Genomic DNA, 27,947 nt, shown 5'->3' with positions numbered 1-27,947 from the left:
ATTCAGTAAGATTTGTTCCATGACACGAATGCCCTAATCACGTTTATTAGTAATGCTATTTCCAGAAGAGAGAGCAAAATGATGCTCCTTTTCAATAGGAACAACGTTGAATACCAAAAGGCACCCTGTTTACTCTAGAGCTGTAGTTCACATTTCTAAATTACCAAGAGTGGTGCTGCGGGTATGCATGGCAATAAGTCCTCTCAAAGCTGGGGCTGAGTGAGGGTGGTGTTGAAAAAGCCAAGGCTTTTCACAGCCAACTGTAAATACATGATGATGAAGAAAAGAAGAGAGTTTACAGATGTAATTTCTTTTCAGACCTTATCTTTTTATTAAGAAAAAAAAGTATTGTAATTGACTTTAGGTTGCCATTGAATCTGACAAAGTTGGGTAAAAATGTAAAATGTTTAAGAGAACTGTAATTTCAGAAACTACATTAAAATAAAAATGTTACATTAAATTTTGAAAAGTAATTTTATGTACCTAACCGCATTAAGCTGGAGACTAAAAGTCTTACAGAAAATTCACTTATAAGTAGATCTAATATATACAAACGAACACTTTGTAGTATGTATAGGTACCATGGTTTTACTTAAAACCTGAGCCACAACACTGTTTCTCTATTTGTGCTATGAGGGTAGCAAGTGGCTGGTGAGCTTTGTATACTCCACTAAACAATTTTTGAGACTGTTCTTGGCTCACAGTTAGGTACAGCAAAATTGTAACATGTTCAAAAAAATATAGTGTTCTGAAATACTCATTTTTGGTTTAATAACCAGACTATTAAGAAAGACAAAAAATAATGTACTTGTAGCAGCATCTAGGTATTATTTAAATGTAACATGTGTGCTAATTCTTGCAGGCCTACGTGAGTGAAAAACATGAAGGCAATAAGATCATTGCTTTTGAAAGAGCAGGTCTTCTTTTCATTTTCAACTTCCATCCAAGCAAGAGCTACACTGACTACCGAGTTGGAACAGCATTGCCAGGGAAATATCCTTTTTGTTACCAGTGAATATGACTGTCCACATTCACTTCTTTATTACATTATAGGACAAAAAAAAAAAAAAGACTAAGGTTGATCTTGATGACAGAAACATTCATTTTCCTCATCTGAAAAATGAGGAACTTAAAATAGTTGATGGATAAATCTTTGCTCGACTCAGTTATACTGAATTATTCCTAAGCTTCATTTTGGGTTTAAACAGAGGGGTTAGTGCAGACGTGGTTCACATCAAAGGAAAGAGCTGTGGATCTTGCTGTCCTGAAGGTTTCACTATGGAGCCCTGCTCTCCAGGTCCCCACATCCACCAATACAGAAGACAATAAATGAAGTCTTCTGAGATAATAGCAGAGGCTCTGGACTTAGGGGACCAGGCTTTAAAAAGTATAACTGAATATTTCTTAAATAATATTTCTTAAATAATATTTAGAGCAGCAATATGGGAGACGATTGTAGTTTTACTCTATGAAAATATTTTGTAAGTTACCTCTGAGACTTGTTTCTTTTCCTCCACTCAGTGGGAGAGAGCAAACAGTAGTTGTAATGATAGTGTCCTTCCTTTTTCTGTTTCTTCTCCTAAAATTCAAGACACAGCATACCTTTGTAGGCCTGAATTGGTAAGAAGGCAAGGCAGGGGAGGTGTGAGCAGTAGAAATAACCAGGGAGAATGTTTTTGATGTTCTCTATGTATTCATTTACTCCTTTTTTCATGCATTTTACAGATACTTACTGAGTACCTATTTACTGAACACCTTATAGATACTTACTGAGTACCTATTTACTGAACACCTCTGTGACAGCTCTGAGCTGATTACTGTAAATATAGGAATTCTCCTAGCAGATACAGTCACTGCCGTCATAGAGCTTTTAAACTAGTAAAGAAGATAAATATTAGGCATTGTAAGTTTGATAATTATTACAAAGGAAATGTACAGTACATTTTAAAGACATGTTACTAGATCCATGAAAAAAATGACAGATTCAGGACCTAGCAATAAATCAGCACAATTTTTCAAGCAGGCAATAGAAATAATGTGCTTGCCCCCTGAAGCCCTAACAATGATTAGCATCTGCCACCTGAGCAAGGTGCCTGATGCCAACATGAAGTCCTATGTGTCAGGGTGGCTCCAGCTACAATAAAGAAACCCTCCTACTCAGCTGGCTCAAATAATAAGGAAAATGTATTTGTCACATAATAAAAACCCTAACGTCTAGTTTCCCCAGCACTTGTGACAGTATCAAGTTCCCCAGTTCATTCTTTTTGCTTTCAATTCTCAGGGTGCCAGCAATGTCCAAATGGTGGCACCTGTTACTAATCATTAGATAAGAGCCATGACTCCAAGTGTCACCCACCTTCAGATACAACAAAATGCAAACAGATTTTTTTGTGCATCTCTTCAAGAATAAACTTACTTCTTTAGCAAAATTTCTTTCATATTTTATTGACCAGAGTTGGGTCTCACATCTCCCAGAAAAATTTTCTAGGAAGAAGAATGATATTAACATGAGTGGCTTAATCAGGAATTACCCCTGAGTCTCAGGAAGACATCCCTTGATGAAGTGGACACCCAGACAGAATTTTACTCTGACAGTAAGAAGAAAACAGACAGTGCTTTTTAGTAAGTAGCCTGCAGCATCTGTCACCACCCCATGCTGCTCAGTGACATTGAGGGCAAAGAGAGATGGTTCCCTACTTTCTTCCCACCCAGCCAATCACTGTTCCACATAACATCAGAGCATCTAGGAGAGGAGGCTGTAGTTGTGACTGATAGCACAAATGTGCTCCAGTTAACCCACAGAATGCGCTGTGTTGTCTGTCTCTTTATGCCTACAGATAAATCAATGTGATGGGTTATCTACACTAAAGAAGTACAGTACTATTCTGGGAAACAAATGTCCTCTTCATTTCCATGAGGAAATCCAAACAAATACTAGACATGTAGCAATTTGTGCGTGATCCTTCTCACCTCCAGAGTGCTAAAGTAATGCTCCTAGACTAAACCCTTCTATACTTGGTAGTGCAATATAATCAAACCAAAATACATTTACAGAATACTAGTATCTACTTCAATCTTTGTTATATCTTTGCAGCGCTTTCCTTGACCCTTAAGTGGAGGGAAAGAGATGTATAAAACCCAAACTGCGACGTAAGTCTTAATGCAATAAATGGAAAAGGAACAAGGAGCAAGAATGTTCCATGGGAGAACAGAGGACAAGAAAAATGAAAAAATAAGTGGCAGGGGAGGAGGGGAGAGATAACGAGATTAAGACAAAGACTTTTAAGCCTAGACTTGGGAAATGGACAAGATTATAGCAGGAACAAATGAAGAAAGCCATTTCAGCTATTAGAAATCGTAGACTATTCTTAGATAATGGACAGTACAATGGATTAATTGGAGAATGATGACTATAGAAAGAAGTATTAAGAGATAAAGCTGAAAACAGATGGAGATCACATAATAGAAGATTTTAATGCCATATTAATTAGTCTTTTTTCTATGATTTTATAGTGAGTTGCTGCAGGTTTTTGACTAGGGAGCTACTTGATAAGAATGTAGGCTTTAGTAAAAGTTCTCATGTACCAGTGTGTAAGGGAGCTTTCATGAGGAAAGAGATTGGAAGTACAGATATTAATTATGAGAAATTGCAGTACACCTAAAAGATAATTAGGGCATGAACTAAAGTAATGTCAATAGAATAGAAAAAGTATACGAAACCCTTTCTTATAGTGAAGGAACTCAGAATCTGTTTGAACATGGAGTATAGAAGGGAAAATGTAAGGTTTCACTTTGAACAATAGAAAGTATGCTGGTGGTATTATTCCTGAGGATAGCAAAGCCAGGAGAGGCAGCCAGTTGCGGGAGTAGAAAATATAAATTCGTGCAAGATGGTTGAATAGAACTCTCCAGCCATTGTCCTCCCTACAGGAACACCAAATTGAACAATTATCCACACAAGAAAGTACATTCATAAGAACCAAAAATCAGGTCAGCAATCATAGTACCTCATTTTAACATTATTTCAAGCAAAGAGGCACAGAAGAGGGTAAGAAAGACAGTCTTGAATTCCCTATACCAACCCTCCCCCACCCCTTGGCAGCACCACATGGCACATGGAAGAAGAGAATCTGTTTGCTTAGGGGAGGGAAAACACAGTGACTGTGGGACTTTGCATTGGAACTCATTGCTGCCCTGTCACAGCAGAAGGTAACATGGGCAGAATTCAGCCAGCACCCGCAAAGAGAGCCATTAGACCAGCCCTAGGCAGAGGGATATTTTCTGCTGTCCCAGCATTTGGAACCTGAGTTCCAGCTAGACCCAACACTGCACACTAAAGTACCCTGGGGTTCCAGATAAATTTGAAAGTCTAGACCACAAGGACTGCAGTTCCTAAGCAAGTCCTGGTGTTGTACTGGGCTTAGAGCCAGTGGACATGGGGTACACAAGAAAGGAGAGGGAAGAGTAAAGAGGACTTTTTCTTATAACTCGGATACCAGCTCAGCCACAGTAAAATAAAACACCAAGCAGAGATCTGAAGCCCCTATTTCAGGCTCCAGCTCTCAGAAGACATTTCTAGACCCACCCTATGCCTTAAGGGAACTTGCTTCCCTGAAGGGAAGAACTCAGTCCTGGCAGGATTCTTTAATTAATGACGGAGGAACACTTGGACCTTGAGTAAACATCAACAGTAGCCAAGTAGCAATTGCCACAGGCCTTTGATGAGACCCAGAACCATGTTGGCTTCAGATGTGACCCGGCACATTCCCAGATGTGTTGGCCATGGGAAGAGACTCCTGCCTGAGGAAAGGAGAGGGAAGAGTGAAAAGGGCTTTATCTTGCAACTTGGGGATCAGCTCAGCCACAGTAAAAGAAAACACCAAGCAGACTCCTAAAGCCTCCAGTTTTAGGCCTTAGCTCCTAGCTGGCATTTCTCAACCTTCCCTGAGCCAGAAGAGAACCCACTGCCCTGAAAGGAGAGACCTAGTTCTGGCACGATTCACCAACTGCTGACTAAGGAGCCCTTGGGCTTTGAACAAACATCAGCAGTAACCAGGCAGTGGGTGCCATGGCCTTGGGGTGGTGGTGGCCATGGATAGAGAGGCTCCTTCTGCTTGAGGAAAGGAAAGAGAAGAGTGAAAGGGACATTGCTTGCAATGTGGGTGCCACCTCAGCCACAGTAAAATATGGCATGAAGTAGGTTTCTAAAGTTCCTAGTGCCAGGCCATAGCTTCAGCATGGCATTCCTAGACCTACCCTGGGCCAGAAGGGAACATACTGCCCTAAAGGGAAGGACCCAGGCCTGGCAGGATGCACCACTTGCTGACTAAAGAACCCTTGGCCTTTGAATAAACATCACTGGTACCCAGACAATAGTCACCAGAGACTTTCGGTGAGGACTAGTAGTGTGCTGGCTTCAAGTGTGACCCAGCACAGTCCCAGTGGTGTTGGCAATGAACTTGCTTGCATCACCCCTTCCTCCAATTCCAGGCAGCTCAGGATAGAGTGAGAGATGACCTTTGTTTAGGGGAAAGTAAAGGAAGAGAACAAGAGATTCTGCCTGATAATCCAGTGAATTATCTCAGATCTTAACTAAGACCATCAAGGTAGTACCTCTATGAGTCAACAAGAGTGGAGCCCCTTAATACGGATACCACTGCAATGACCAAAGACTTAGATCACAACACCCAAGTCTTCAAATACTTAGAAAACCTTCCCAAGGATCAGTATAAACAAGGCTGACCCATGAAGGCTACAATAAATACCTAATTATTCAATGCCCAGACACTGGCAAACATCCACAAACATCACGACCTTCCAGGAAATCATGACCTCACCAAACAAACTAAATAAATCACCAGTAACCAATCCTGGAGTGACAGAGATATGTGACCTTTCTGACAGAAAAAAAAAAAAATGAAATAGCAATTTTGAGGAAGCTCGTGAAATGCAATTTAACAGAGAAGGAATTTAGAATTCTATCAGATGAATTTAACAGAGAGATTGAAATGCTTTTGAAAAAATCAAGCAGAAATTCTGGGGCTGAAAAATTCAGTTGACAAACTGAAGAATGCATCAGAGTTTCTCAAGAGCAGAATTGATCAAGCAGAAGAATTAGTGAGCTTGAAGACAAGGTATGTGAAAATGCATAGAAAAGACAAAAAACAAAAAAGAATGAAGCATGCCTACAGGATCTAGAAAATAGCCTCAAAAAAGCAAATCTAAAAGTGATTGGCCTTAAAGAGGATGGAGAGAGAGAGAGAGAGAGACTGATTCATTCAGGTAGAAAGTTTATTCAAAGAGATAGTAACGGAGAACTTTCCAAGCCCAGAGAAAGATATCAATACTCAAGGACAAGAAGGTTGTAGAACACAATGCAGATTTTACCCAAATAATACTACCTCAAGACATTTAAAAATCAATTTCCCAAAGGCCAAGGATAAAGAAAGGATCCTAAAAGCAGCAAGAGAAAATAAACAAATAACATACAAAGGAGCTCCAATACATCTAGCCGCATACTTATCAGTGGAAACCTTACAGGCCAGGAGAGAGTGGCATGGCGTACTTAAAGTGCTGAAGGAAAACAAAACTTTTATCCTAGAATGTTATATCCAGTAAAAATATCCTCCAAATATGAAGGAGAAATTAAGACTTTCCCAGACAAACAAAAGCTGAGGGATTTTGTTAACACTAAACCTGACCTACAAGAAATGCTAAAGGGAGTACTTCAGTTTTAAAGAAAAGGATGTTAATAAGCAATAAGAAATAACCTTAAGTCACAAAACTCGTAATAATAAGTACACAGACAAATATGGAATATGATAAGGCCTCAACTGTGTTGCACGAACTAACTACAACAGCTTTTTAAGACATAGACAAAATTATAATAAGATATAAATACAAACAAAAAGTTAAAATGCTGGCAAGATGAAGTTAAAAGGTAGAGTTTTTATCAGTTTTTCTCTTTGCTTGTTTGTTTTTGCAATCATAGTTAAGTTGTCATCAGTTTAAAATAGTGGATTATATGATGTTACTTGCAAGCCTCATGAGAACCACAAATCAAAAAGCCTACCACAGATAGACAAAAAATAAAAAGCAAGAAATTAAAACATATCACCAATCAATTTCACAACAAGGAAGACAAGAAGGAAGACAACAAGACAACCAGAAAACAAAAAACAAAATGGCAGCAATAAGTCCTTATCAGAAATAACATTAAATGTAAATGGACTGAACTCTCCAATCAAAAACAGAGTACCTTAATGGATAAAAATACAAAACCTAAATATCTACTGCCTACAATAAACATGCTTCACCTATAAAAGCACTCATAGACTAGCAAATAAAGGGATGGAAAAAGATATTCTATGCAAACAGAAAGCATAAAACAGCAAGAGTAGCTGCATGAATATCAGATAATATAGATTGTGAGACAAAACTTATAAAAAGAGACAAATAAGGTCATTATATAATGACAAAGGGTCAATTCAACAAGAGAATATAACAACTAGATATGCACCCCACACTGGAGCATCCATATATATAAAGCAAATATTATTAGAGCTAAAGAGAGAGATACACCTCAATCCAATAACAGCTGGAGACTTCAATACCCCACCTTCACCTTTGGACAAATCTTTCAGGCAGGAAATCAACAAAGAAACCTGAGATGTAATCTGTGCTATAGACCAAATGCACCTGATACATATTTACAGAACATTTCATCCAACGGCTGCAAAAGGCAAGTTCTCCTCAGCTCATGGAACATTCTTTTGTTTTGTTTTGTTTTGTTTTATGATTGTCTTTTTTTAAAATTATACTTTAAGTTTAGGGTACATGTGCATAACATGCAGGTTTGTTACATATGTATACATGTGCCATGTTGGTGTGCTTGCACCCATTAACTCGTCATTTAACATTAGGTATATCTCCTAATGCTATCCCTCCCCCCTCCCCCCTCCTCCCACCCCACAACAGGCCCCACTGTGTGATGTTCCCCTTCCTGTGTCCATGTGTTCTCATTGTTCAATTCCCACCTGTGAGTGAGAACATGCAGTGTTTGGTTTTTTGTCCTTATGATAGTTTGCTGAGAATGATGGTTTCCAGCTTCATCCATGACCCTACAAAGGACATGAACTCATCATTTGTTATGGCTGCATAGTATTCCATGGTGCTTATGTGTCACATTTTCTTAATCCAGTCTATCATTGTTGGACCTTTGGGTTGGTTCCAAGTCTTTGCTATCGTGAATAGTGCCGCAATAAACATACGTGTGCATGTGTCTTTATAGCGGCATGATTTATAATCCTTTGGGTATATACCCAGTAATGGGATGACTGGGTCAAATGGTATTTCTCATTCTAGATGCCTGAGGAATCGCCACACTGTCTTCCACAATGGTTGAACTAGTTTACATTCCCACTAACAGTGTAAAAGTGTTCCTATTTCTCCACATCCTCTCCAGCACCTGTTGTTTCCTGACTTTTTAATGATCACCATTCAAACTGGTGTGAGATGGTATCTCATTGTGGTTTTGATTTGCATTTCTCTGATGGCCAGTGATGATGAGCATTTTTTCATGTGTCTTTTGGCTGCATAAATGTCTTCTTTTGAGAAGTGTCTGTTCATATCCTTCGCCCATTTGTTGATGGGGTTGTTTTTGTCTTGTAAATTTGTTTGAGTTCATTGTAGATTCTGGATATTAGCCCTTTGTCAGATGAATAGATTGCAAAAATTTTCTCCCATTCTGTAAGTTGCCTGTTCACTCTGATGGTAGTTTCTTTTGCTGTGCAGAAGCTCTTTAGTTTAATTAGATCCCATTTGTCAATTTTGGCTTTTGTTGCCATTGCTTTTGGTGTTTTAGACATGAAGTCCTTTCCCATGCCTATGTCCTGAATGGTATTGCCTAGGTTTTCTTCTAGGGTTTTTATGGTTTTAGGTCTAACATGTAAATATTTAATCCATCTTGAATTAATTTTAATATAAGGCGTAAGGAAGGGATCTAGTTTCACCTTTCTGCATATGGCTAGCCAGTTTTCCCAGCACCATTTATTAAATAGGGAATCCTTTCCCCATTGCTTGTTTTTGTCAGATTTGTCAAAGATCAGACGGTTGTAGATATGCGGCATTATTTCTGAGGGCTCTGTTCTGTTCCATTGGTCTATATCTCTGTTTTGGTACCAGTACCATGCTGTTTTGGTTACTGTCACCTTGTAGTATAGTTTGAAGTCAGGTAGCGTGATACCTCCAGCTTTGTTCTTTTGACTTAGGATTGACTTGGCAATGCGGGCTCTTTTTTGGTTCCATATGAACTTTAAAGTAGTTTTTTCCAATTCTGTGAAGAAAGTCATTGGTAGCTGGATGGGGATGGCATTGAATCTGTAAATTACCTTGGGAAGTATGGCCATTTTCATGATATTGATTCTTCCTACCCATGAGCAGGGAATGTTCTTCCATTTGTTTGTATCCTCTTTTATTTCATTGAGCAGTGGTTGTAGTTCTCCTTAAAGAGGTCCTTAACATCCCTTGTAAGTTGGATTCCTAGGTATTTGATTCTCTTTGAAGCAATTGTGAATGGGAGTTCACTCATGATTTGGCTCTCTGTTTGTCTGTTATTGTTGTATAAGAATGCTTGTGATTTTTGCACATGATTTTGCATCCTGAGACTTTGCTGAAGTTGCTTATCAGCTTCAGGAGATTTTGGGCTGAGACAATGGGGTTTTCTAGATATACAATCATGTCATCTGCAAACAGGGACAATTTGACTTCCTCTTTTCCTAATTGATTACCCTTTATTTCTTTCTCCTGCCTGATTGCCCTGGCCAGAACTTCCAACACTATGTTGAATAGGAGTGGTGAGAGAGGGCATCCCTGTCTTGTACCACTTTTCAAAGGGAATGCTTCTAGTTTTTGCCCATTCAGTATGATATTGGCTGTGGGTTTGTCGTAAACAAAGACACAACATACCAGAATCTGTGGGACACATTCAAAGCAGTGTGTAGATGGAAATTTATAGCACTGAATGCCCACAAGATAAAGCAGGAAAGATCTAAAATTGACACCCTAACATCACAATTAAAAGAACTAGAGAAGCAAGAGCAAACACATTCAAAAGCTAGCAGAAGGCAAGAAATAACTATGATCAGAGCTGAACTGAAGGAATTAGAGACATAAAAAACCCTTCAAAAAATCAATGAATCCATGAGCTGGTTTTTTGAAAAGATCAACAAAATTGATAGACCGCTAGGAAGACTAATAAAGAAGAAAAGAGAGAAGAATCAAGTAGATGCAATAAAAAATGATAAAGGGGATATCACCACCAACCCCCAGAAATACAAACTACCATCAGAGAATACTAGAAACACCTCTGCGCAAATAATCCAGAAAATCTAGAAGAAATGGATAAATTCCTCGACACATACACTCTCCCAAGACTAAACCAGGAAGAAGTTGAATCTCTGAATAGACCAATAACAGGCTCTGAAATTGAGGCAATAATTAATAGCTTACCAACCAAAAAAAGTCCAGGACCAGATGGATTCACAGCCGAATTCTACCAGAGGTACAAGGACAAGCTGGTACCATTCATTCTGAAACTATTCCAATCAATAACAAAAGAGGGAATCCTCCCTAACTCATTTTATGAGGCCAGCATCATCCTGATACCAAAGCCTCACAGAGACACAACAAATAAAAGAGAATTTTAGACCAATATCCCTGATGAACGTTGATGCAAAAATCCTCAATAAAATACTGGCAAACCGAATCCAGCAGCACATCAAAACGCTTATCCACCATGATCAAGTGGGCTTCATCCCTGGGATGCAAGGCTGGTTCAACATATGCAAATCACTAAATGTAATCCAGCATATAAACAGAACCAATGACAAAAACCACATGATTATCTCAATAGATGAAGAAAAGGCCTTTGACAAAATTCAACAGCCCTTCATGCTACAAACTCTCAATAAATTAGGTATTGATGGAACATTCTTAAAAATAGACCATATGTTAGGCCACAAAGGAAATCCTAAAATATTCAAAAATATTGAAATAATATCAAGCATCTTCTCTGACCAAAATGGAATAAAACCATAAATTAATAACAAGAAGAATTTTAGAAACTATACAAACACATTCAAATAGAACAATATATTCCTGAATGGCCGTATACCAATGACCATACCAATCCAAGGCTAGGTCAAGAACGAAATTAAGAATCCCTATCAAAATACCAATGATATTTGTCAAATAAATGGAAAAACAATCCTAAAATTTACTTGAAATCATAAAAGACCCAGAATAGCAAAAGACATGTTGCACAAAAAGAACAAAACTGGAACAATCACATTACCTGACTTCAAATTATACTACAGAGCTATAGTGACCAAAACAGCATGGTAATGCCATAAAAACAGACACAAATACCAGTAGAACAGAATATAAAACCAGAAATCAATCCATGTATCTACAGTGAACTCATTTTCAACAAAGGTGCCAAGAACATACAATGGGGAAAGGACAGTTTCTTCAATAGACGGTGCTGGGAAAACTGGATATCCTTATGTGGAAAAATGAAGCTAGATCCCTATCTCTCATTATATACAAAAAACAAATCAAAGTGGATTAAAGACTGAAATCTTAGACATAGTTTATGCCTAAACTAAGCATAGGCAATCAAAGCAAAAATGTACAAATGAGATGAGAGCAAGTTAAAAAGCTTCTGCACAACAAAGGAAACAGGGAAGAGACAATCCACATTATGGGAAAAATATTTGCAAACTGTCCATCTGGCAAAGGATTAATAACTAGAATACATAAGGAGCTCAAACAATAGGAAAAAATTTAATAATCTTATTTAAAAATGGGCAGAAGATCTGAATATACATCTCAAGAAGACATACAAATGACAAACAGGTGTATGGAAAGGTGCTCAGCATCACTGATTGTAAAAGAAATGCAAATCAAACCTACAATGAGAAATCTCACCCCAGTTAAAATAACTTTTTTCCAAAAGACAGGCAGTAACGATCCTGGTGAGGATGTGGAGCAAGTAGAACCCTCATACACTGTTGGTGGGGTTGTCAATCAGTACAGCCAGTATGGAGAACAGTATGGAGATTACTCAGAAAAGCTAAAAATATAACTACCATATGATCCAGCAATCCCACTGCTAGGTATACACCCAAAAGTAAAGAAATCAGTATATGGAGCAGATATTTGCGCTCCTCTTTTATTGTAGCACTGTTCACTATAGCCAAGATTTGGAATCAGCCTAAGTGTCCATCAGTACACGAATGAACAAAGAAAATATAGTACATATACACAACGGAATACTATTCAGCCATAAAAGGAATGAGATCTTGTTATTTGCAACAATATGGATGGAACTGGAGGTCATTATGTTCAGTGAAATAAGCCAGGAATAGAAAAACTAACTTTGCATGTTTTCACTCATTTATGGAAGCTAAAAATTAAAACAGTTGATCTCATGGAGATAAGAGAGTAGAAGGATGGTTACCAGAGGCTGGAGAAGGGTAGTGGGGTAGTGAGAGGGAAATGGAATGCTTAATGGCTACAAAAGCATAGTTTGATAGAATGAATAAGACCTAATATTTGATAGCACAACAGGGTGACTGCAGTCAACAGTAATTTATTCTACATTTTAAAATAACTAAAAGTGTAATAGGAATGTTTGTAACACAAAAAAAGGATAAATGCTTGAGATGATGGATACTCTATTTACCCTGATGTGATTATTACATATTGTATCCTGTATCAAAATATCTCAGGTACCCCATAAACATATATACCTACTATATACCCATAACAATTTTAAATTTAAATTAAAAAATCATTTTATCATTGTCAACAAATGGAAATGTATAGAATTTTCCATGATGATATTTAGGAGAAAAATCCTGGGTCAAGCTATAAGGATCTATCTAAAATATATTAATATATTAACTTTAACAAATATTGAATATTATGAAAGCATACATAATAATATATGTATTATATATATTATATAGCATAGTGTATTACTGTGACCCCCATAAGTCAGCAAGACCCCCAAATGTTAGTTTATATATACTGACACAGAATTACACTGTATATGAAAGCCTGGTTCGGTTTTGAAAATCTTGACACAAATTGGGTCTTCTGAAATTTAGTTATCTGCTTAAATGTCTATAGGTAATTTTTACATGAAAATTTTCTATTTTAATAAATAAATACTCAATGTTTTTACATTAGTCACCTCTTCTGGAAGCTATACTAGTTATAAGTTGCAATGATACAGACATTGGAAAACTGAGTCGTCTCTTTATAGAAATTATAGTTGAATCCTCAGTCATCTAATTGGTCTCCAAGAGAACCATGAAGAAATATTGTTGACCTATTTCCCACATTTTGCCTGTTACAGATTTGTGCCCACTTGGACTTTAATTATTCTTACCACCCATCTCTTCCATGTCTTTCTGTTAACAAGTAGTAAATTCACATACATTATTGCTTTTTCTGAGAATATTTGCATTTTAATAATTCTCTTTGAATACTCACAAAGTATTGAAGATGTAATGGTCTAAATAGGTAATGGGAGAATTGTATCATGTTTTTTACTTTATATATTTTAAATTTGGGGGGGGCAGGAAGGGAGCAGGAGAGCATTTCCAACATAATTTACAACGCACCTTCTAATTAAGTATATTTTAATAACACCAGCCATAACTCTGAGACTGAAATCACAACATCTTCCTTTTGTGAGGTACTCTGCTCCACCCTCCCAGTTCAGTGCAGAAGTCCCATCTAGAAATTTCTTACAAATAATCACCTGTTATTCGAATACTTTGCAGTGCTAAGAATATCACTGTTTCACAAGATAAACAGTATTGTTTTTTAATAAATAAAAATGTTATCTTAAAATCAACGCATTAGTTCTGTACTCTGAGGCTAACACCTGTTCTATGTGCCAGCTATTCAAATCAGAAAGGCATTTAACATGCTTCTTAGATTACCACCTCTCCCTGCTTTTTCCTCTTCCAGACCAGATATGGCTAGTTTCTTAAATCGATTCTCATGATACTTTCCAGACCTCTTACCATTGCATCTCCCTTATTAAAATGCACCCAGCATTGTTCACATTCCTCCTACACTAACAGCAGAGTATTCTAGATACGGTCTGGCAAGTATGACATACAGAGCCCCATTACCTTCCTTTATTTTGATGCTGCTCTCTTATTCATGGAGTTAAAGTTGCATTAGCTTTCCTGGCAGCCATCACATTTTCCTTTCACATTGTATTTCCATCCAAACAAAAATCTTGGGTTTTTCTTTTGTATCCTAGTATTGTGTCATATCTTCCTTTTTCTTTATTTATTCAGTTAATAATTTCAACCTAAAATCCCAAATTTAACATTAAACTTGGAAAAGTACAATATTAACTTTGACCCTCTAACCTATTAGAAAAGATAAAAGAATATTACAGGACAATTCTCTGTTATTAATCTGTTAGGATTGTAGCATCTCCCATAACCAGCAAATGGATCTCTTCTTTTAACTTTTTGTTGTTCCAAGCTTAGCTTTAAGAGTCCTTTTTCTTCTCCCTTGCATTTTTTGTCTCATTTTGGCCTTTTATCTTTCTGACTTTATTCTTGTACTTTTAACCTACAGTGTAGTTCAATATTATAGAATGAATTCAGATATACAAAATATTAAAAATTAGGATTTCAATGGTATATTTTCTGTCTTTAGCAAAATATTCTATGCCATTGGTATTTCTAACTACTGAGCAAGTGAATTGAATACAGATTTTTACTGTGAAGAGTCTACCATGGCAAGATTGCATGTGTTAATCAAGTAATAAAATTCATCAAATTTTTAATTCCCTGGGAAGCAGGATTTGGTGCCAGAATAAATTTAACTTTTCTAAAGAAGCCACTTAAACTTCCTCTGTCCCTAGGAAATATAACCCTGCTATAGGTAACATGTCTGAATTTTTGAACAGGTTCAATTTTTTTGAACCTGTAGATCTTGTATATCAAATAGCAAGACATCAATTTTCACTCAAACCTGTGGAGAATAGATGGTGACTGCCATCCCAAAAACTGTTGGAAGGGGAGCTGTTTTGGAGGTAATGCCAGGCAAGGTAGAAGAAACACTAAGGATGCTTTTAACTATCTCTTCAAAATAAGAGAATACGTTTGGAAAACTGAGAGGCAAGACTGATTTGTATCAATAAAGCTTTGAATGTGGCCTTCATGGTGACTACCAAAGGACATCTTATAATTGTTTCTGCAGTAGAATCTACAGCCATATTCTAGGAAAAAAATCAAGAAACAAAACGACAACAAAAACCTTTTGCCTGTATACTCTCACATTTGTCTTTTTAGCTGCTAATCTTCAGTGTAATAATCACCAATATTCTTTAATGCAATAGATAGAAATGTGGGTAATGCTGAGACCTACATGTACTTAATAAATAGGCAGGTTTCATATTTCATGCTTAGAAAGATAAAATACATTTTCCTGATGTATTATATTCACTTAAGTTTTCACATTGTTTAGCTGTAAAGAAAGAAACATAATGCCTTTTATATCATCAGAATCATTATTATATTTCTTTAGTGGCATTTCTTCACCTAGAACATTATCAAGTTGGCATTAAATCAGAAAGAATACTCTGTTCCCAAGACCAGAGTGCTCTTTCTAATGCATTTGAACAATACAAATGATTATACCACATTTTAAATGATGTGGGGAGAATGTGAGTATTAGGGCCCCTCTTTTGTGGGCCTTCTATTTGCTAATCATTTTTATAAAGTATTCAGTTTAATATAGTATAGTAATAATGAAAAAGTTTGAAACGTTGCGATAATTACCAAAATGTGATGCGGAGACATGCAGTGAGCATATACTGTTAGAAAAATGGCACCGACAGAGTTGCCCAGCCAGGGTTTCCACAAACTTTCAATTTGAAAAAAACACAGTATCTGCAAAGCACAATAAAGTGAAGTGCACAAAGCAACTTGTGACTGTATTTTGGGCCACACTATAAGGCACGTTGTAGAGACTGAGGCCTTTAATTAACTGAAGCCTTCCCTCCAGCCCATGGCAGGTAAAGGTTAAGCAGTGTTTTCCATAGCCCATATTCTTTCTGTTACACCCTGGTGCCTCTTTCTGTTCCTGGAGTATGTACATGTGGTTGGGGGTGGTAGCAATGGTGGTATTATTGATGATTTATTTCTGTAATGTTCAAAATAATTTTGAAAATACTTCTGGGAATATAAGTAGAATAAGAAAATTACATACAGACTTGTGGCCCAGGCAGGTTTCTTTCTAATCAACTCACTTTTCTCACTGCCCTGCCATAACCTCTGACAAATTCTTCCCCAGAAATTCTTCTTGGTGATCTTGTTTGCCATCTTCCACAAGAAGAAAAATAATTTTAAAGCAAAACTTACATGTGAAGTTCAATTATTGTGATTTTTTTTTCTGTATTCTAGAGTAGAATATGAATGTGTCATGGTTCTATTTTCAGAGTTAAACTGATGTATTACATCAGTTTAAGTTAATACATGATATACAATAGAAATTTTAACCCCCCCCAGCTTATTTATAAAGTGTTTGTGTTGGTATATACAGATAAATATCATTCTGAGACCATAAACAACACAAGAATCAAATGTTTAAATTATTTATCAGCATACTTTTGAGGTGGGAGTGGAAATGATAGTGTAGTAACAGCCCCCTTTCCAAATGGCATTTCAAACTGTTACAATGTTGTGACGTTAAGAGGAGTGTTCATGAGGTATGGCTTGTGAAGAATATGTGAATCTAGGACTAAATCTTTAAACCCAAGAGAGCAGAGGTATAAATAGTTGAATTTGACCTGAGATAGTTGAAATATTTTCATTAAACCACTGCAAGATGCACTTTTTAAAATGTAAATTCATACTCTGACATTTGCAACCTGTACACAGAGTTTCTAATAAGCAAATAAGGTCACTTGGATGATTTACTGCAGTGTGATTGCTGAAGGCAGAGATGTTGCTATGAGTTGCTTGGTTTACAGAAGGCTTTGAAGTGTGGTGATGTAACACTGTGTTTATTAGAATCTATGCTTTTTGCAACAAATAAAAACAAAGGACTTAATTTAGGATTAGCTAACTACCACATTCTATCCAGATTATATATGTAAAGGATAATTTCTGGTCTGACTAAATAGAGCATCTCAACTTTCTAGTTTTCCAGGTTTTAGATACTTTGGTAAAAAAGCAAATTCAGGGTTTTCTCCAGAAGTTCTACACAGTGACTTTCACCAGATACAGGCATGTTTCTTTTTCCTTTATGTTATGCTGCAATTTATTGATGATGAGCTTTATGAGAGCTGAGACAGATGATCCTACTAACAATTTTATATTTAATATAGGTCCTCCTTTTTTAAAATAGCTTTATAATGGATGCATGCTCATTGCTTAGGTTCACTTTCTTTAGTTTTGAAATGACTAATACTTTTAAACATAGAGGTCCTTTTGATCATTTTTTCATTGCTAAACACTGTCTAACAATCCCTATGATTTAATGATAATGACAGACCAGTACCCTCACCTCCCTGGTCATAAAAAGCCTATGATTTAGCTTCATTTCTCTACCCAGGAATTAGGGATGAATCACCAAGTAAGAAAAATATTTTGCATGATTAAAATATTGCAACTGCTATAACACTTTTAGATTGCCTTAATATATATTCATAAGATTATAGGCAGTAATGAATAGTGAGCAAGTCCTTACTGCACACGAATGTATTTAGTTTTGGGGTTTTTTCTTGAAGGGGGACCAGGGGCCTGTTGTTTTGAATAGCCATCACGGTGCTGTCAAATATTTAACAGCAGTTCTGGTTTTTTTGTTTCATAGCTCAGTTGTGCAATGATGGTCTCTTCACTTCAGAAAGTCATCTAACAATAGCCCAGTCAAAATTTCTGTCTTCTATTTCTTGCCCTTCTGGAGGAAAAATATATCAGAAATATTGTCATAACCTTTAAAGAAGACAGTGCATAATCACCTAGTAATAGTATCCTTCATTGGGGTTTGGGGGGGAGGAACATTTGTGCCCAAGGTGATCATTTTCATCAATTTTTAAAAAGGAGATACTATTATGTGTTTGTAAACTTCGAGATGGATGATAAGACAGAGTATTACCTATATATCAACAATGATATGTTTACTTAGAATACACTAGGTACCTGTAAACAGAGAGCTAAATCTCTGATAGGAGTATGGATAGAGGGGTTGATGAACTGATAGACTGACTGACAGATGGAAGGATGGATGGATAAATGGAGTATGTAGCTACCTAGTGGTGAAATAACTCCTGAAGGTTTAAAATTATGTAATTAAAAGACAAATAGTACTAAAATGATTTGCTTCTCCCTTAAAACAGTAATTTAATTAAATGGTATAAAAATTGATAAGCTATTATCAATAAAATACATCATAATTTTGTAGAATTCACAATTAATATATTATTATACTATGATGTGCTTGCTGAGCAGATCTTCATAATAAGATCTACTGTCTCTTATAAACTTAATATATGTCCTGCACTCTGAAAGTATTTTATACTCATTACCACATTAGCTAACCATTTCTTTTCCTAGACTGCAAATATGGAAGAAGGCAATCTACAGGCATAACTTGGAGACAGTGCAGATTGGGTTCCAGACCACTGGAATAAAGCAAATATTGCAATATAGCAAGTCACACAAATTTTTTGGTTCACAATACATATAGAAGTTATGTTTATACTATACTGTAGTCTAATAAGTGTGCAATAGCCTTATGTCTAAAAAAAAATGTACATGCCATAATTTAAAAATACTGTATGCTAAAAGATGTTAATGGTCATCTGAGCCTTCTGTAAGTAATAATCTTTTTGCTCATGGAGGCTCTTGCCTTGATGTTAATGGCTCCTGACTGATCAGGGTGGGGTTTCTAAAGGTTGTGGTGGCTAAGACAACAATGAAGTTTATTACATGGATTGACTCTTCCTTTTATGAAAGATTTCTCTGTAACATGTGATGCTGTTTGGTAACATTTTACCCACAGTAGAACTCTTTCAAAATTAGAGTGAATCCTCTGAAACCCCACCACTTAGTTGATAAAGATTACCTAGGTTTATATTATATTCCAAATCATTTGTTGCCATCTCTGGCATCTTCATCAGTAATAGACTCCATCTCAAGAAACCATATTCTTTGCTCATCTGTAAGAAGCAATTCCTCATCCATTAAAGTTTTATCACGAGACTGCAGCAATTCAGTCACGTCTTTAGGTTTCACTTCTAATTCTAGTTATCTTTCAATTTCCACTGCATCTGCAGTTAGTTCTTCCACTGAAGTCTTGAGTTTCTCAAAGTCATCTATGAGAGTTGGAATTAACTTCTTCCAAACTCCTATTGTGTTGATATTTTAACCTCCTCCCATGAATCACAAATGTTCTTAATGGCATCTAGAATGGTGAATCCTTTCCAGAAGATTTTCAATTTGCTTTGCCGAGATTCATTAGAGGAATCACTGCTTATGACAGCTATAGTCTTACAAAATATATTTCTTAATAAGAGTTGAAAGTTGAAATTACTTCTTGATCCATAGGGTGCAGAGTGCATGTTGTATTAGATGGCTTGAAAACAACATTAATTTCCTTGTACATCTCAGTCAGAGCTCTTGGGTGACCAGATGCTTTCATCAATCAGGTAATATTTGAAAGGAATCTTTTTTCTGAGAAATAGGTCTCAAGCTTGGGCTTACAGGCTCAGTAAACCATGCTGTAAACAGACATGCTGTCATCCAGGCTTTGTGGTTACATTTATAGAGCACAAGCAGAGTAGACTTTAGCATAATTCATAAGGGCATAGGTTTTTGGAAACAGTAAATGAACATTGGCTTCAACTCAAAGTCACCAGCTGCATTAGCCCATAACAAGAGAGTCATCCTGTTCTTTGGAACTTTGAAACCAGATACTGTCTTCCCAGTAGTTATGAAAGTCCCAGATGGCATCTTTCAATGGAAGCCTGCTTCATCTACACTGAAAATCCATTGTTTAGTGTAGTCACGTTTATCAATATCCTAGCTAGATCTTCTGGAAAACTTGCTACAGCTTCTACATCAGCACTTGCTACTTCACCTTAAAATTTTATGTTATGAAGATGTCTTTATTCCTTAAACCTTAAGAACCAGTCTCTCCTAGCTTTAAACTTTTCTTCTGCAGCTTCCTCACCTCTCCCAGCCTTCATAGAATTGAAGAGAGCTAGGGCCTTGCTGGATTAGGCTTTGACTTATGGGAATGTTGTGGCTAGTTTGATCTTAGATCCAGACCACCAAAAACTTCTTCCTATCAGCAGTAGGCTGGTGTTCACTGTCCTATCACTCATGCGTTCACTAGAGTAGCACTTCTTATTTCTTTGAAGAACTTTTCCTTTGCGTTCACAACTTGGCTAACTCTTTGGCATAAGGGACCTAGCCTTTGTCCTGTCTCAACTTTGAACATGCCTTTCTCACTAAGCTTAATCATTTCTAGTTTTTGATTTAAAGTGAGAGACATGCCCCTCTTCTTTTCATTTGAACTCCTAGAGGCTATTGTAGGGTTATTAATTGGGCTAAATTCTATATGGTCTTAGACAATACGGAGGCCCAAGAAAAGGGGAAGAGACAAGGGAACGGCCAGTAGGTTGGAGGAGTCAACACACACATTTATTAAGTTTGTGGTTGCATATGTGCATGATTTGTGGTGCCCCAAAACAATTACAATAGTAACAAGGATCACTGGTCACAGATCATCATCATAGACATAATGATAATGTAAAAATAATATAATTATGAATAGACAATCATATATTAATATATATTAATAATGAAAAAGTTTGAAATAATGCAAGAACTACCAAAATGTGACACAGAGACACAAAGTGAACACATGCTATTGGAAAATGGCACGAATACACTTGCTGGATGCAGCGTTGCTACAAATCTTCAATTTGTAAAAATGTGTATTTGTAAAGTGCAATAAAGTGCGATAAAATGAGCTATGCTGGTGCAGTAGTATCATTGGCCTGAAAGATTTCACATTGAGCCTTTCCTTTTAAAGTTAGGCTTTACTTAATTTATCCAAAATATATGTTTTTTTTTCTATTTAAAAAATAAATTGTATTAGTCATCTTTATACCTGATACCAGTGTGTTTTAAATAGAGCATTCTATGTCTAAACTAAATTTATGACATGGATGTTATATTACTTTTCCTTCTGGCCAGTAGAAATTACCTTTTTCAATGAGTATCTCCTGCCTGCCTACGTGAGATATTATTCGTGTTTCTGACATTTTCCGTGAAGCTCTTCTTAATCAGAATCTCACAGGATCAAACTGAGTGGTCAGTGTTTTATTTACATAAAAGTATTACCTGAGTATCCCAGATGATTTCTTAAAATTAAGATGTGATATAATTACTGGCTCGCTAAAATTACCTACGGGCTCCTAAGCATTTTTGAAAGCTGCAACCAAAAGAAGTTTCTGTTTCTCAGAGAAAGTTGGAAATATTAGAGCCAAAAACAGTGTGTTCTTGGAAGCAGTGGATTCAGTTGTAATCATGCATAAGAACCATCTCTAATTCTATTAATGTAGTTTCTGTTGGCCTAATGATGGGAAAATGCCTAATTAATTCCTATAAATAAGCATTAATTTACAAAATTAATTATGGTTATTTTTTGTAGTTATGTGGTATCAGCTGTTGAATAAGGAAAGTGTTTAGATAATATCAAATAAAATTATTTAATTAACATATAACTGAATGAAATGATTACACTCAGTACGTTTTATTGTCACACAATGATCATTTTATTTCAAGAACATTAATTAAAATGAAAAATTATTATGTTTGTATGTAAAATTATAAACATTACTGGGTTTTTTTTTCTCATGTGTTCTTTATTATTTAGAGAGAGAGCCAATTTTCACTTTGCCAGCCTCCCTATTAACATCTGTCCTTTTTGCCAGCTGAAGAAAACAAAGGAAAAACAATTTTCTCCTGTAGTAGCATTATTTTCTAATTCTGAAACATTATTTTCTTCAGTTTGTTCTCTACTTCTAACATTTTTATTTCCCATTGGCTCATGTAACAAAGGTCTCCAGAGGTAATAGGTATTTCTTGTTCTTATATTTGTAAACATAAAGAAATTTGCTCTCATTGCAAGGATAGTGGTTAGCTTGAGCTCTAGAATATTGACTATCTGAGGTTCAAGTTCCATCTCTGCCACTTAGTTTTGTTTTGAAAATAGCCTCTTTGTTTCTTGGTTATTATCTCTAGAACACCTATTCATAGAATTGTTGTCAGAATTAAATTAGTTCATGATTAGTTAACATGCATGCAAGGCTTAACAACAGTGTCGCCCACGTTTGAGCTTAGCAAGTAGTAAGGGTAATGGACATCCTTACTGTCATCATCTTCTAAAAATGCATTAGAAACTTTATAATAAAAATGAATTTTTATAAAAAAGAAAGACAAATAGGTACTAATCCTGTCTGTTGTCTTTTTTCTATTGTCCTACTTTTTGTTTTTTGTTTTTTTTTTGGGGGAACAAAACAATAAACACCTTTATTACATGGGTGAAGACAAAACGAGGATATATTTGCCTTTCCGGGCCTTGATTTTCCTAAGACAGAACTCCAACTCTTTGCCCTCTAGCACATAGTGTTTTGTTTTTTGATTTTTGTTTTTTCGCATGTCCTAGTTCCCATTTCACCACGACACAGTGATTCCTTTCAGTCCTTTCGCAGTACTGGAATTGAAACTCTTCTGTTCCCTGTTAAATCTCTTCCTCACTCTTGTACTATTTGCCCACCTTTCTTTCTTATTTCCCTTTCTCTGTATCCTGCAGCACTGTCTTGATTTCTTTTTCTTTCCACCTATTCTTCATGTTATCTTTTTTAAGATCTAAATCCATTTATTCATTTTTCTTGCACTTTTCCCTGAAAAATTCACCCACCCTTCAGCTATCAGCTCTATGAAGATGTTCCCTAATGATTCTCCCCACCTTGACCTATGCCCTATTCACCAAGCAGTGGGCAATTTTGTGATGTTTAATGACTGTTAGGCAAAACTGGGCAGCATGGAATTATAAATTTTTGAAACTGAAAAACTCTAGTATAACCTAGCTCAGCCCATTCAAATTAAACAAAATTACTTGGGTTAAGATATATATAAGCTTATTTTTTTTCAATTTTTATGAGAATTTAATTAGTCGTATGAATCATGTGTCTGAAATACAAGCTTATTTTAAGAGATCAAAATTAGTACCAAAAGTTAAATTTGCATGGCAATTTACAATATGCGAATACTTTTACTTACATTAACCCATCTTATCCTCACATCATCTCCAGTGATACTGGTTAGGCAAGCATTTTTTGTCCTCAATCTACATGTGAGGATCAGAAAGATTTATAATTTTCACAAGGTCGTATTTCTAGTCATTGAATAAATGTGATTTAAATCTAGTTTCTCTAAATTCAGTACAGTTTTACATTTGGTCACCAGATAATTCATCTTTTTGTTGCCCTCTAGAAATGCCATTGAAGTACATGAAGTGTGTCTCACTAATTTTGGTTTTTTTCTCTATTTATATTTGTAGAGGTTAATGATGCCTTTGACTAAATGTTTTTCTGCAGGGTAATACCATCCTGGTTTCTGACACTCAAAAGCACAGATGAATGTTAGTGGAAAAATTTTTTCCAGCTGTATGTATATATATCTTTTTAAGTTCTACTTTTATTTAGATTCATAGCATACATGTACAGGTTTGTTACATGAGGTTCTTTTGTTTGCTTGCTTTTGTTTTTGTTTGTGTGTTGCGAAGTTTTGGGTTGTGAATGATCCTATCAGCCAGGTAGTGAGCATAGCACCCAGTAGGTATTTTTTCAGACACTGCCTCCATCCCACTCTCCCGGCTCTAGTAATCCCCAGTATCTATTGTTTCCATCTTTATGTTCATGTGTACCCAATGTTTAGCTCCCACTTATAAGTGAGAACATGCAGTATTTGGTTTTCTGTTCCTGTGTTAATTCACTTAAGATAATGACCTCTAGCTACATCCATGTTGCTGCAAAAGATATGGTTTCATCTTTTCAATGGCTGTGTAGCATTCCATGGCATACATATACCACATTTTCTTTATCCAATCCACCATTCATGGGCACCTACGTTGATTCCCTGCCTTTCCTATTGTAAATCGTATTGTGATAAACATACAAGTGCATATGTCTTTTTTTTTTTTTTCTTGTAGGACAATTTATTTTCCTTTGGATATGTAGCCGGTAGTGAGATTGTTGGGTTGAATGGTAGTTCTGTTTTCAGTTATTTGAGACATTTACAAGCTGCTTTACACGGGAGCTGAACTAATTTACTTCCCACCAACAGTATATAAGTGTTCCCTTTTCTCTGCAGCCTTGTCAGCATCTGTTGTTTTTTGACTTTTTAATAATAGCCATTGTGTCTGGTGTAAAACGGTCTCTCATTGTGGTTTTGACGTGCATTTCTCTAATAATTAGTGATGTTGAGCATTTTTTTCATGTGTTTGGTGAACGCTTGTATGTCTTCTTGTAAGAAGTGTCTGGTCATGTCTTTTGCCCATTTTCTAATGGGGTTATTTGGTTTTCGCTTGTTGAGTGTTTAAGTTCCTTATGAATTCCATAAGACTCTGGATATTAAACATTTGTCAGATTCATAACTTGCAAATATTTTCTCCCATTCTGTATGTTGTCTGTTTACTCTGTTGATTGTTTCTTTTGCTGTTCAGAAGCTCTTTAGTTTAAGTCCCACTTGTCAATTTTTGTTTTTGTTTCAGTTGCTTTTGATGAGTTAGCCATAAATTGTTTGCAAAGACTGATGTCAAGAAAGGTATTTCCTAGGTTTTCTTCTAGGGTTTTTATAGTTTGAGTTCTTACATTTAAATCTTTTGTCCATCTTGAGTTAATTTTTGTATATGGTGAAAGGTCGAGGTCTACTATCATTCTTCTTCATATGACTAGTCAATTACCCAGCACCATTTATTAAATAGGGAGTCCTTTCCCCATTGTTTATTTTTGTTTTAAAGCATAACTGATAAATAAAAATTATCTATATTTAAAGTACAGTGTGATGTTTTGATATACATATACCTTGTGAGATGGTTACTACAATCAAGCTAATTAACATATTCCTCACCTCACATAGTGACCATTTTCTTGTGTGTGTGTGAGAATGCTTACGGTCAGCTCTCAGCAGATTTCAAGTATATAACACATTATTAACTGTAGTCACTGTATTGTACATTACAGCTTCAGAACTTATTCATCTTATAACTGAAAGTTTGTATAAAATATCCCCGTGCATGTGTGTTTAAAACTCCCTTTGCTTATTTTTTATTTTTTATTTCCATAGGTTTTTGGGGAACAGGTGGTGTTTGGTTACATGAGTAAGTTCTTTAGTGGTGATTGAGATTTTGGTGCACCCATCACCCAAACAGTATAAAATGTACCCAATTTTTTAAATGCATATGGGGAAATGTTTACTTTGAATCTTTCTCCTCACAATAATTAATCTGATGTAGTTATGGGCTATGTGCCCAGAAGTGCTCAGGAAAGACTGAAGTGATGATGCAGATATGCACACCTGCAAGCTTTGCTTTACAGTTTTTCATGGGACACTAGTTTAGCCCCTGTTCTTCGGCTTTCTAAAGCACTGAGTGAGACCTGTACTGTGATTTTCTATCTAGTCTTAAAAGAGAAAGAGGACTATACATTAACTATATGTTACGCCAAGTAAGTTAAGACTTCAAATAAAGAAAAATTATGTTTCTACCACCACAGCTAAAATAATCAGATTTCCAGATTTTAAATATATTAAAGTTTATGCACTTTGCAGGCTTTATCTGCAAGATGGTGGTAGAGTGGTAGAAACTGTTATACCTAAGAGCATATTCTGGCCCTGCCAAAATATTAGATATATTATTTTGACAAACCCCTTTGATGTTCTGTGCTTAAGTTCAGTCATTTTTATAGAGAAAGCTAACCAGTAAAGTAGATATGGAAAGTCTTTGAGTTTGTGCTGACTTGAATAAACCTGGAATCATGTATCCATGTCAACTAAGAATTATATAAAATGTTTCTCTTCAAGGCTCATACCAATCAGAATAGTTAACTTGAGAATTAATTGCTTCCAACTAACATGCATTTATTATAAATTATCCAAAATGAAGGATTTTTATATTATAAATATTCTGTTATAAATTTATAAAGAATATGAAATCTTTTAAAATGTCTAAGTTAAACTTTATAGATAATGAAATGGAATTGTGATAGAAGTTATATTTATACAGATCTTACATGTTAACTCTGTGAAACAAAGGGAAAAATTCAAGTTTGGTCTTTGATGACCAAAGTAGTATGAAATTATTTCTCAAAGTTTAGCAAAAACATGCATAGATTAAAAATTAAAACCCAAGGAGGAGACTGCAAAGGAAAATAATGAAAAGACACTCACTCAAATGCCAGATTCTAATCTAGGTCCTATATGGCAGAGAAAAAAAAGGAATTTCTTATATAGATTGTATTTTAATAGTGAGAGACAAAAATTCAACTGATAAGAACAGATACTACACTTGATCTTAGCCAAAAGGCTGAGAAGCAAAAATGTAATAATTAAATTTATAATATGTTAAAAGCTGATAATACTATGGTGAAAAATCAAGGCAGGTGCAGGAGAGTGTGTGTAGGTATTTAATTTTCAGGTAGGATTGTCACCAAAAGCTCTCTCAGTATTTCTCATAAACTTGAGAAGTACCTTCTTTTTTATAAAAAAAAAAAAAAAAAGACAAACCCTAAAATTTAAAAAAAGACTCTAGTCCTCAAAGAGTTCTATGTACTGTATGATTAAACTTTAATGTAAAAATTTTTAAATAGCAAATTCTAGTGAGAACAAAGACACAGAGAAAGAGGAATAGAAATAAAGATCATAAAGGAAGAAGAGGCCAAGTCAAGTATAAAAAGTAAAATAAAGAATTAATAGACCCACTTTTATATTTTTCATCTCTTGAGACAGCAATTTAAGTGAGCCAGGGTCTATAGTAATAATAGCCACAGCAGCTAGTAATTTGAGTACTTTTCCCAGTGCTACATAGGGTGTTAAGCACTCAGTAATAGATTGCTTCAGTTAATCTCTACACCCACCCTCTGATGTGTTACCTCCATTTACAGATGAGAGACTGAGCCTCCAGGAAGTAAGTAACTTACTCAGAGACACACAGTTAGCAATTGGTAGGACTGGAATTAGAATGCAGTTGTTAGACCCTAAAGCTCATGGAGATACTCACCATATTTTAGTGTTTTAGAATGCTGTCTCCTATCCCTGTCTTTCTGCCTGAAATGGCTCAGATAATGCTTTCTTACTGCTTATGATTGTCTTTATTTTTCAGAGACGTCCCCGTTTCCAATTATGTTTTTATTTAGCTATATTGCACTTGACTGCATTGAAGGCTGTTCCCAGAGTAAGTTTGTTTGGGGGAAGGTGTTTATAGCCTGAATCAAAATTATTTTGAGTTTAAAAGCACAATTTTTTTTAAAAAAAGTGTTGAGTCTGCAGGGTGTAAACTCATTTTGATAATAAAAGATGTGGTTAAAAAGGTGAATAAAAATCTGTTATTTTTTTCTTTTTCAGTTTTAAATAATTGCCATCGCTTCATCAGATAATTGAATTTACAAGTTCTTTGGATAATCCTAAAGGCACAGACAGACAGCAGCAGTTTTAGGGAGAGGTTAGTGCAGAAGTGTGAGCACATTTTTCTATTTTTCTTCCTTCTCAAATTATTGAGAAACAGTGACATTTTTTAGTTTAAGTTATATAATCTTCTAGGATACAGAAAAGTTT

At 35.7% G+C, this 27,947-nt stretch overlaps 1 protein-coding gene and 1 pseudogene across 2 annotated transcripts in view; one reads left to right on the top strand and one right to left on the bottom strand.

Moving 5' to 3' along the window:
- The window catches only part of GBE1 (1,4-alpha-glucan branching enzyme 1), a 271,943-nt gene that overhangs the window by 225,458 nt on the left and 18,538 nt on the right, over positions 1–27,947 (top strand). Inside the window, exons 14-15 of one of the 2 annotated variants that reach the window (XR_007095662.1) lie at positions 863–2,622; positions 17,914–22,638. Coding sequence is in view for 1 of the 2 variants with exons in the window: in NM_000158.4 (NP_000149.4) it covers positions 863–993 (131 nt within the window). In the remaining variant the exon portion in view is untranslated. Of the gene's footprint in view, positions 1–862; positions 2,623–17,913; positions 22,639–27,947 lie in introns of those variants that run through there. The other variant, NM_000158.4, reaches the window with a different exon arrangement.
- Positions 26,524–26,712, bottom strand: RNU2-28P (RNA, U2 small nuclear 28, pseudogene; annotated as a pseudogene).

Source organism: Homo sapiens, chromosome 3, assembly GCF_000001405.40.
Source record: "Homo sapiens chromosome 3, GRCh38.p14 Primary Assembly".
In the NCBI taxonomy this organism is placed as follows: Eukaryota; Metazoa; Chordata; class Mammalia; order Primates; family Hominidae; genus Homo; species Homo sapiens.
Note: the sequence above shows the minus strand (reverse complement) of the source record. Positions and strands in the feature narration are given on the sequence as shown.